The 11,597-nt window shown below is 38.0% G+C and overlaps 1 pseudogene, besides 3 other annotated features; it reads left to right on the top strand.

Annotated features, from left to right (window-relative positions):
• On the top strand, positions 777 to 1,917 carry KRT18P36 (keratin 18 pseudogene 36; annotated as a pseudogene).
• Positions 4,200 to 4,369: an enhancer, noted in NCBI's record as "experimental_107933 CRE fragment used in MPRA reporter constructs". NCBI's record gives its function as "activates a minimal promoter by MPRAs in K562 erythroleukemia cells, with activity observed for both the introgressed and non-introgressed 9:30797289 variant alleles {active_cell/tissue: K562}" and the evidence as "EXISTENCE:reporter gene assay evidence [ECO:0000049][PMID:34662402]".
• Positions 10,230 to 10,730: an enhancer, noted in NCBI's record as "H3K4me1 hESC enhancer chr9:30790843-30791343 (GRCh37/hg19 assembly coordinates)". NCBI's record gives its function as "activates a minimal SCP1, AML or CMV promoter by ChIP-STARR-seq in naive H9 embryonic stem cells {active_cell/tissue: H9 hESC(naive)}" and the evidence as "EXISTENCE:reporter gene assay evidence [ECO:0000049][PMID:30033119]".
• Positions 10,731 to 11,231: an enhancer, noted in NCBI's record as "H3K4me1 hESC enhancer chr9:30790342-30790842 (GRCh37/hg19 assembly coordinates)". NCBI's record gives its function as "activates a minimal SCP1, AML or CMV promoter by ChIP-STARR-seq in naive H9 embryonic stem cells {active_cell/tissue: H9 hESC(naive)}" and the evidence as "EXISTENCE:reporter gene assay evidence [ECO:0000049][PMID:30033119]".

The raw sequence follows: 11,597 nt of genomic DNA, 5'->3' as shown, positions 1-11,597 counted from the left end.
GTAACTCTTGGCTATTGCTAGTGGGAATGTAAAATGGTACAGCCACTTGTGCAAATAATTTGTCAGTTTCTCGCATAATTAAAGACGTGATTACTGTATAACTCAGAAATTAAATTTATAGGTTTTTAGCCAAGAATAAGGAAAACACATTTATGAAAAACTTCTACGAGAATATTCATAGGAGCTTTATTTATAATGATCCAAACTGTAAACAACCCAAATATTCATTACAAATTGTGAGTATATCTAAATTATGAATGATTAAGCAAATTGTGGTATCTCCATTCAGTGAAATGGTACTTAGTGATAAACATCACTTAGAGTATTGATATATAAAAGAGCACGAGTATCAAATGTATTCTGAAAGTGAAAGAAACCAGACACACAAGATTACACATTTCATTTATTTGAAATTCTCAAAAAGGCAAAACCATCACAAAATAAAGAAGATTAGTGGTTTCCTGGAGCCAGTAGATAGGGCTAGTGAATTGACTTAAAAAAGGTGCATTACCAAACTCTTTATGTTACTATTTATGTTACCAAACTATTTATTCCTCATTTAAAATTCCTTTGGTCAAAAATGCATTGCATTGTGGATTTATAATGAGTGAAATTTATTATACAGAAATTGAAAATATAACCAACTGAAATAAAATAAAAGATAATAAAGTATGCTATGAACAAGCTTATGTAATAACAATTTGGGTAAAGTAGACAAAATTCATGAAAAAAAACACAACTTACCAAAACCAACTCAAGAAATAATAGAAAATGTGGTCATCAACAAAGCCTGAGTCCTGTCCTCTCGCTCTCCTCCCTAAACAGCATGAGCTTCACCACTTGTTCCACCTTCTCCACCAACTACGGGTCCCTGGGCTCTGTCTAGGTGCCCAGCTACGGCGCCCAGCTGCCAGCAGCGTGGCCAGCGTCTATGCAGGCAAGGGCTCTGCTTCCTGGATCTCCGTGTCCCGCTCCACCAGCTTCCTGGGCGGCATGGGGTCCGGGGACCTGGCCGCGGGGATGGCCAGGGGTCTGGCAGGAATGGGAGGCATCCAGAACAAGAAGGAGACCATGCAAGACTTGAACGACGGCCTGGCCTCCTACCTGGACAGAGTAAGGAGCCTGGAGACCAACAAGAGGAAGCTGGAGAGCAAAATCCAGGAGCACCTGGAGAAGAAGGGACCCCAGGTCAGAGACTAGAGCCATTACTTCAAGACCATTCAGGACCTGAGGGCTCAGATCTTTGCAAATACTGCAGACAATGTCCCCATCGTTCTGCAGATGGACAATGCAGGACTTGCTGCTGATGACTTTAGAGTCAAGTACGAGACAGAGCTGGTCATGCGCCAGTCTGTGGAGAACGACATCCATGGGCTCTGCAAGGTCATGGATGGCACCAATGTCACTCGGATGCAGCTGGAGACACAGTTCGAGGCTCTCAAGGAGGAGCTGCTCTTAATGAAGAAGAACCACGAAGAGCAAGTGAAAGGCCGGCAAGCCCAGATTGCAGCTCTGGGTTAACTGTGGACGCAGATGCCCCCAAATCCAGGACCTTGCCAAGATCATGGCAGACATTCGGGCCCAATATGACCAGCTGGCTCAGAAGAACCGATAGGAGCTAGACAAGTACTGGTCTCGGCCGATTGAGGAGAGCACCACAGTGGTCACCACGCAGTCCGCTGAGGTTGGACCTGCTGAGGTGACGCTCACGGAGCTGCTATGTACAGTCGAGTCCTTGTAGATAGACCTGGACTCGATGAGAAATCTGAAGGCCAGCTTGGAGAACAGCCTGAGGGAGGTGGAAGCCCGCTACGCCCTGCAGATGGAACAGCTCAACGGGATCCTGTTGCACCTGGAGTCAGAGCTGGCACAGACCTGGGCAGAGGGGTAGCGCCAGGCGCAGGAGTACGAGTCCCTGCTGAACATCAGGGTCAAGCTGGAGGCTGAGATCGCCACCTACCACCACCTGCTGGAAGATGGCGAGGACTTCAATCTTGGTGATTCCCTGGACAGCAGCAACTCCATGCAAACCATACAAAACGCCACCCGCCAGATAGTGAATGGCAAAGTTGTGTCTGAGACCAACAACACCAAAGTTCCGAGATATTAAGCCAGGAGAAGCAGGGTGCATGAGGCCAATGAAAAGTTCAGAGGTCACTGGGTGTCAAAAGAAAAAGAAAGAAAGAAAAGAAAAGAAAAAAAGAAAGAAAGATCTAAAAAATATTATGAGGAAATTGAATTCTAAATAACACTTTCCAAAAACAACAAATTCCAATTTCAGATGGTTTGCAAGTAAATTTGTACAAATAAATATGGTAGAAATATCACTAAAATTGCATAAACTCAGAAAGAACTAACAAAGAGGAACATTTGCCAACTCATTTTAGGAGGCCAGCATAATTTTCATATAAAATTTGACCAAAAAAAAAAAAGCTAGGTAAGAAAGGAAAAATTGCGGAACAGTGTTTAAATAAACAATTGCATGAATAAACCAAGGAGTCCTGAACAAGTTATTAGCCATTCAAATCCAATGATACATAAACTATACTGCATCATGTATAGATAATACAATGTGTGACAATATCACATAAATGAAAAATGCAATATACTTGAACATCAACTAGTAATTCAATATAATATGCAACTTAATAACAAGTTATTTTTTCAATAGGTGCAGAAACATTTTTGATAAAATTCAACAAATGGGCATGATAAAAATTAAGTCTCAGCAAAATAAGCATAGACATGAACATTTTTAATCTGAAAAACCACATCAACAACAAAAAACTGTACAACTAAAACGTAAGTTACTGGAAAAATATGTAATGCTTTTCTTGTAAAATGGGGTAAAAGTCATATGTGTCCAGTATCAATATTTCTGCTTGTCACAGACCAGAGTCCTATCTAATGCAAGAAGGCAATAAAAAGAAATAGACTATTAATGCAAGAAATGCATGAAGCTGACATTTATAAACAGCTAACATAATTGTTTCATAGAAATCTAAATGATACATTATTAACAAACTAATTTAGAAAATTTGACCTGTACATAACGAATATACAGTAGTCCCCCACTTATTCATGGGACATGCTTTCCAAGATCCCCAGTGAATGCCTGAAACCTTGTATAGTACTAAAACCTATATATACAATGCTTTTTCCTATAAAAATATACCTATGATAAAGTTTAATGTATAAGTTAGGAAGAGTACAAGACTAACAACAATAAATAACAATAGAACTCACAATAATACGGAAGAATTATAACAATATGCCAACATCACTACTCTTGCGCTTTGGGTCATTATTAAGTAAGATACAGGTTTCTGGAACATAAGCATTGTGATAGCGCAACAGTTAACAGATAACCAAGAAGGCTACTTAAATGACTAAGGGGTGGTGAGTGGCTTCTACAGCATGAATATGCTGAACACAGGAAGGATTCCCATCCCAGGCAGGAGGGAGCTGGATGACTTGAGAATTCACCACTCTGCTCTGAACAGTGTGTAATTTTAAACTTATGAGTTGTTTGCCTGCAATCTTTCATTTAATATTTTCAGACAATGGTTGCCTGGGGGTTACTGAAACCTACAACCATGAAAAGCATAACCTTGGATAAGGGGAGACTATAATAGAAATAAATCATTGTTATTTTTTTGAGACTTTATACTGACAAATTTAATTCCAGGCTGGATTAGATGTTGTTGGGATTTTGGGCATGTAAACCATCAATTGATGTCCCATATGTTTACAGACTGGAAAAAAAAAAGTCAGAAGTTCTGCTGCCCTCTAGGAGTACAGGTTTATCATCATCCTCTTGGGACAGTCACAGGAAGGGTAATGAGAAACGATATACTTCAGATGGAAAAACGAAGATCCCCAACAATATTTGTATGGGGTTACTTCTCTCAGAAATGAATTTGAGCATAACAAAGCAATGTTCTCTTCCTTCAGAACAAGGGCTATCTGGCTTTGGAATTGTTATGAACCAATGACATCTGTCTGCCTCCCTTTCTTTCCCTTTCTGAATGCAGATGTTTACTGTGGTTATCCTTTGTCTTGTTGATGTGCATTGGCTGTGTGTGGAGGAAAATAATTTCTCTTTTTAGTCCATATTTCTCCATATTTAGATAAACCACATTTGTAACTTCTGTGTAGATGGTCATGACCTCTGACTTTGAGCCTGATGAGCTGATGGCATAAGAATGTGATGGTGCCTTCTTTGGGGGGAGGTGAGGAAAATATATATTTTGAATATGAAAAGGAGGAAAATGAATATTTGTCTCCAGGAGTGTGAAAAGTGTTCTGTTGCATTCTTGACAATTTTTGACTCCATTTTTTTTTCAGTTATAGAATTATATAATACACTCATTGCCATGTGAGATCTTTGCCTCTTTAACTTTGGGCTTGGCCACATAATTTGCTTTGTTTATGGAACATGAGCTAAAGTGACACATTCAAGAAGAAACTTGAAATTACATTTTGTGATTGAGCTCAGCCCTGCTTTCTTCCTTTTTGCTATGGTAATTGGCATGTTCACAATAGGGCTGCCCTCTTTCCAGAGATAAAATTCACTGGGAGCTGTGCCAAGCACTACCTACAAAAGCTGCAAGGGCAGCAGTTATAGTTGAACTGCAGATGGTGTCATGTGAATTGAGCAAGAAATGACCATAATTGCAACAAGCTAAGCTTTGGGGGTTACTTATTACAAAGCAATGCTGACAAGTACATAAATCTGCCTCACAAAATGAACCATTAAATATTCTCTATTCTAAACTGAGTCAGACACTCTGAGAAAGAGTTGAATATCGACAGAGAAAATTAAGCCTCTGGACTTCCAGGTTCATATGATTTACAAATATTCATTGAGTTTTAATTTTAACTAAGGAAGCATGCTGGGATATACAAATACAAATGTGATCCATTTTGTGCCTTCAAATAATGTAAAATTTTAGTGTGGTGAAAATTCAGAAATATAACTGCTGCAAGATGTGATTTTGTAGTTAAAACAATGGAAGCACAATTCTGGTTGTAAGAATACTAAGAAGTGAGGAGAAGACTACCTCCAAACTTACTATCAGGTGGTGATCTCACGAAATAAAGAGGGTTTAAGAAGTGCATGAGAAAAGCTAAGAAATGCTAAATGTGATGGATTTCCCTCTACTCTGTTGACGTAATTCCTTCCTTTGCTTTCTAACATTAAGCTTTACTTCCCTAATTTTTTTGTTGTTTGTCTTTTGCTTTAGGAAACTTGTTAGTAAGAAAAAGGAGACTGCTATCAGATGGAAAGAAATACTAAAGGCCGAATTGGGACTTAAACTCAAGTCTTATATTGCCATTGAAAAATCATATTACACATGTGTTGAAATTCCACAGCAACTAAAACATATAAAGTAAGCTCCAAACTATTCATTTTACCTAGGCACAGTTTTTTTTTCCAGTTTAATAATTAGTAGGGAAAAGCAAAGAAGCCAAAAAAAAAAAAAAAACTAAAACTTGATTCAGAGAAAAGGTCTTTTCTTCTCAAGTTACAAAAGTATATCAAATTAAAACTCCCCGAATTTTTGAAATAATTTATAAAATATATAAATAGTTACATATTTGTATAATGTGTCAGTGTAATACTGGAAATATGTAATACTGTGAAATCTATGCCCATTTCAAACAATGATACAATGTGTAACTCAACTCTCAACATCTCAGCTGAGTGTATATATCAATTTTTAAAATCGCCAGAGTCAGAACATGACTGCTTGCTTGAGTTAAACAAGTCCCTGGAATAAAACTGTGCTCAGCATAATAACTTCTTCAGGTTTATTTGGATATGTCAGGGGTTGACAAGCTAATTTACAGATTTGAAGAGTTGGAGGGTTTATTATAGACAATCTTTTACAACCACATCTCATTAGTAGTTAGGAAATTGAAGACCAGGGAGATTAAATTACTTTCTCAGAGATAGAGGTAATTAGTAATATAGCCAGGCTTCTATCTTCTAATATCATTCTCTATTCACTATACCTCAAGTGTATATATATATACAGGCTAAGTGTTGCTTTCTCTTTTTTTAAATTGTAAACCTGGTAGGTCAACTCCTGCAGGTGGATGCTGACCAGGATGGCCCTGGGGAAGTTCTGTCTTTTTATATTGCTCCAAGAACCACTAGGTCATGTCTGTCCTGTTCCATCTCCAGGGTAGAAGATAATTCTCCCAAAATGCTTCTGTATTCCTCTGAAAAAAAAGGAGTGTGCTGTAGGAAAGCAATCTCAAAATCACCAAATGCAATTGAATTAAAATGTTTTATGCCCATTTATTTAAAAACAACACAATTACAGATTGTAGCTTCCCAAGAATATGTGTACACTTTTATATATGAGTCATTGGTGGGGTAAATATCAACTTAATGACCTTGGTTTTCTGAAGTGAAAGAAAATTTGGGGCTTTTTGGGAGTAATCAGAAATTGATATATTCAGAATATGGATATATGGCTATAGTATTCATCCTCCATCACTAGGCTGTGTCTTGGTCACTGTGATAACAAATGAAATAGTGTTAGTTTGGCTTTTTAGTATTTTAGGAAACAAAAACCTCTTTCCTTTAGGTTGTAAGGGCTAATTGCAAGGATATAACAGTTTTGTAAGCTGATAAATTAATTATAATTTATTTTGGAGTTGAATAATAAATCTACAATATGTTTGGTTACTCACATTGTTTTGTCATCCCCTCTGAACTAAGTATTAATTCTTTCCTACTCTCCTGACTCCTCCGATGTGTACTTCAGCTTCTCTCTGGGTCTTGTTTTCTTCTTGCTTGTATAATTCTTTCTAAATTTGCTACATTATCTATGTGAATTTTATACTCAGAACCTCTTGGGAATATGAGGCTGACTGGAAAGTCACTATATATTGGGAAGATTTACTTCACTAGACACCTTAGTAAAAGAAGCGTATCAGTTCCCTAATCTGTCAATGGTAGTCTTTAGATAACAAGCTGATTTTGGTTTTCAATCCAATGTGGCAAGGATAACAAGGCCATGTGATTAAATCAGGTCGACACAAATATAATTATGATAATAATAATAGGTAAACTTTTCTAAGTGCTTAATATGTGTCAGGCACATTTCAAAGCACTTTGCATATATTTGCCTACTCAATCTTAATTGCAAATCCATGAAGTTACAACCATTACTACTCCCAATTCATAAATGAAGTTCTGAAGAGTTTAGTTGTTTGTCCAAGAGAGGATAAATACTAAGGCATTACTTTTGATTTTTTAAAGACAGGAACTTTAGACTTTGCACCACCATATATTTAGCACTCTCCTGAATTCACAGGGATACAAAACTAATTAAATCACTTTGAAAACTATTACGTGATATTTGCATGTACGTTATTGTTAGTAATATAGTACTCTACTATAATATAGTACTCTCCTACCTATGTTTGCCTTCCTAAATTGTGTAATGTCTGTGTCCACACAACTGGGATTGTTTGAAACTTCTAATAGATAAAACTAATAACAACATTTAGAGACATAATTGCTCTCTCCTGAAGATTATCTTGTCATCTCTTTTCTATGTGCAGCAGTCCTGCTTCTTCTATGAAATAATCCATTCACCACCTAGTATGGTTCTTGTTACACTGGAGGTCATATCACCACAGTGACAAGCTTGTGATTAATTCCTGGACAATCGTGTGACCTCTGATTACACATATTGAGCTAGGAATGGACATGAAGTCCAACTTGGACCAGTCAGAGCCTTTCCCTTTGATGTTAGATATAAATAGTAGGAGAAAAGTATCTGTCATTCCTTTGAAGCAAGCATGTTAAGATACTGCAACCTGGAGGTCCCTCTAAGCACAATCTCACATGATGCTATTATGAGAAAAACCAAGGAATGTAACATCTCCTCAAGCAAGGACCCCCAAACTAGAAAGAAACCAAGAAAAAAAGGAATGACTCAGACAAGGCTAGCTTGCTGAGTACATGAGTTAGTTACAACTTACATACAGGGCATTACTGGGTAGCAGCAAGACAACTCCAGAGATCTGTCTCACTACCTGCCCCTAAGTTGCTTTTAAGATAATTTTTCAGCTATTCGTCTGCTGTGTGTAATGAAACTGTTTTTATTGTCATTATGTTCTCAAATATGTTCTGGGATGTTTAGGTTTTTAGGGACATCTGTTCCTCCTCTAGGCACCATGGCCTAGAAGGTACATTTCTCGTAACTCACCATAAAAAAGAAGTGAGGCTATGGCTCTGATAATCAGCTTGATTTAATTATTACATATTATACACCTATAGGGAAACATCATATTGAGTCACACAGGTATGTAAAATTATGAATTCTTAATTAATAATATTAATAAAAAGAAAAGTTAAAATTAATTTTAAAATTCTTATAGGGAGGAAAAGTTTCTATGCAGTGTATAGAATAACATAATACCTTGGAAATCAAGAAAATGAAAGTTTAATTTTGCGCTACCAGCTTACCCTGTGAGGTATTTGATGCTTGCTTGTTTTCAATGATACAATTCATAATTCAAATTACAGAGTAAAAAATCATTAATTAATCCATTCTTTTATTTAGATGCCTAGTTCAGTGTCCAATGTAGTAGTGAAAAACAGAATCCTAAACAAATAAGCTTTAAAATAAACTATTATAAAGAAAGCATAACTAGTGTACACCAATCAGTTAAGTAATAATACATAAAAAACAGGAAAATGCATATGCACCTTTATTAGTTCTTCATTCAGGGATTTGTGAAGCATGAGTACAAAATAACGTAATGTATAATGTCCTTTTCTGGTCCTCAATGACGCATGCAAATATTATTTTTTTCCCTCAAGCTATTGTTTAACCACAAGGAACAATCTTATCTAATTAGTGTTCATTACTATCTAAAAGTCAATAACTATCCACGGAACTGGGACTAAAAGAATCCCCAGATTCATTTCTAGAGAATACAACCAATGAATGCAAAGATGGGAATTTGAGAATTCATCTTTCTGGCAAATAAAATTTTATCACATGTAACTCATCCACCACAAGCTTGTATAGCTAAACCCTTGACAGATTAAATGTTTATTGTCAAAAATTGATTGGGTCTGCTTTGAAAATTTAATTGAAATCATCTCTTAATTTGATTTTAGAAATATTTGTTTTTGTTGTATTTTTTCTTAATGTCATCCTATGGCACATTTAGTTCCTAGTTGTATTTTTCAGAGTGTCAATAATCACTATAGAATAGAATACATTAGGCCTGATCTTAAGTTAGAATGAACTATATCTATTTCTTTTTTAACTATGTTAACCCTTTTATATTAATAAGAAATGGGTTTTATTGAAAAATTACATTAACAAATCAGTGTTACAATAAGAAATCAATGAACATCAACTGAAAATTTTGATCTCAGACATGCTGTAGCATTTGGAGTTTTATTTCAACAACTCTCTTACTTGTAAAAATCTAGAGGTAAACCACTGATTACCAATGTCAGTGGCTTTCTTATTCAAATGAACAGTGAAAAAAAATGCAGCCATTATTTACACAGAGCTTTCTGTCAATTAAACCATTTGCTAATTTGTTTCCTTTGAAATGGGTTTCACATTTACTCCTATGCTTAAATGTTTGCCATAAATCCTTTTTTATTCATGCTAATTTAGGTTACCTCTCATTTTGCTTCCTTGACATCAATACCAATCAATACTGCAACTCTTGATCATTTATATTGATGAATAATATTAACACAGGCAATCTAAACCAGTGGAAAATATCACATATGGTGCTTTGGAAGACTGTCCCCACAACAATTCTCTTATGGATGCTATTTTACACAGGTGATTAAATAAATTAAGCTGCATTCCTGTGACACAGAACAGTAATATGTATTATTAAAGCAGATATGTCTCTTTGATTAGGATAGCTACTATAAAATCAAAATGGCTTGCATATGAAATACTTTTACAAAATAAAGCATTGAAAAACATCATTCATATATGACAAATCTTAGCATAACACATAAACTTCTGAAAATACATGGTGCAAAGGAAAGAGGATATCACTTAGACCACTGAACATCTTGACATTTGCAACAGCGCTTTGTCATTCTTGTGAACTTCTAGGGAAGTCATATTCGATGTATCGACTCGCTCCTAAACGTTCTCCTTCAGTGTCGCAGATTTCGTTAAACATCATCGTGACATACATAATCCTCTGCTATAAAATAACTCTTTTTATTTTACTGAAACTTGACACTCTCAGCAGGTCTGCAATTAGGAAGGAATACAGAAATGATGTTTACGTAAATGTATCTGATTGTATCTCTACCATACTTATAACAGGTTATAAAAATTATAAGAATGAGGGGGAGGAGCCAAGATGGCCGAATAGGAACAGCTCCGGTCTACAGCTCCCCATGTGAGCTATGCAGAAAACGCGTGATTTCTGCATTTCCATCCGAGGTACCGGGTTCATCTCACTAGGGAGTGCCAGACAGTGGGTGCAGGACAGTGGGTGCAGCGCACCGTGCGCGAGCCGAAGCAGGGCGAGGTGTTGCCTCACTCGAGAAGCACAAGTGGTCAGGGAGTTCCCTTTCCTGGTCAAGGAAAGGGGTGACAGACGGCACCTGGAAAATAGAGTCACTCCCACCCGAATACTGCGCTTTTCCGACGGGCTTAGGAAAGGGCGCACCAGGAGATTAAATCCTGCCCCCGGCTCGGAGGGTCCTATGCCCACGGAGTCTGGCTGATTGCTAGCACAGCAGTCTGAGATCAAACTGCAAGGCAGCAGCGAGGCTGGGGGAGGGGCGCCCGCCATTGCCCAGGCTCGCTTAGGTAAATGAAGCAGCCTGGAAGCTGGAACTGGGTGGAGCCCACCACAGCTCAAGGAGGCCTGCCTGCCTCTGTAGGCTCCATCTCTGGGGGCAGGGCACAGGCAAACAAAAAGACAGCAGTAACCTCTGCAGACTTAAATGTCCCTGTCTGACAGCTTTGAGGAGAGCAGTGGTTCTCCCAGCAGGCAGCTGGAGATCTGAGAACGGGCAGACTGCCTCCTCAACTGGGTCCCTGACCCCTGACCCCCAAGCAGCCTAACTGGGAGGCACCCCCTAGTAGGGGCAGACTGACACCTCACACGGCTGGGTAATCCTCTGAGACAAAACTTCCAGAGGAACGATGAGACAGCAGCATTCGTGGATCACGAAAATCCGTGGTTCTGCAGACACGGCTGCTGATACCCAAGCAAAAAGGGTCTGGAGTGGACCTCTAGCAAACTCCAACAGACCTGCAGCTGAGGGTCCTGTCTGTTAGAAGGAAAACTAACAAACAGAAAGGACATCCACACCAAAAACCCATCTGTACATCACCATCATCAAAGACAAAAAGTAGATAAAACTACAAAGATGGGGAAAAAACAGAGCAGAAAAACTGGAAACTCTAAAAATCAGAGCACCTCTCCTCCTCCAAAGGAATGCAGTTCCTCACCAGCAACAGAACAAAGCTGGATGGAGAATGACTTTGACGAGCTGAGAGAAGAAGGCTTCAGATGATCAAACTACCCTGAGCTACAGGAGGAAATTCAAACCAAAGGAAAAGAAG

Source organism: Homo sapiens, chromosome 9 (genome assembly GCF_000001405.40).
Source record: "Homo sapiens chromosome 9, GRCh38.p14 Primary Assembly".
Classification (NCBI taxonomy): Eukaryota; Metazoa; Chordata; class Mammalia; order Primates; family Hominidae; genus Homo; species Homo sapiens.
Note: the sequence above shows the minus strand (reverse complement) of the source record. Positions and strands in the feature narration are given on the sequence as shown.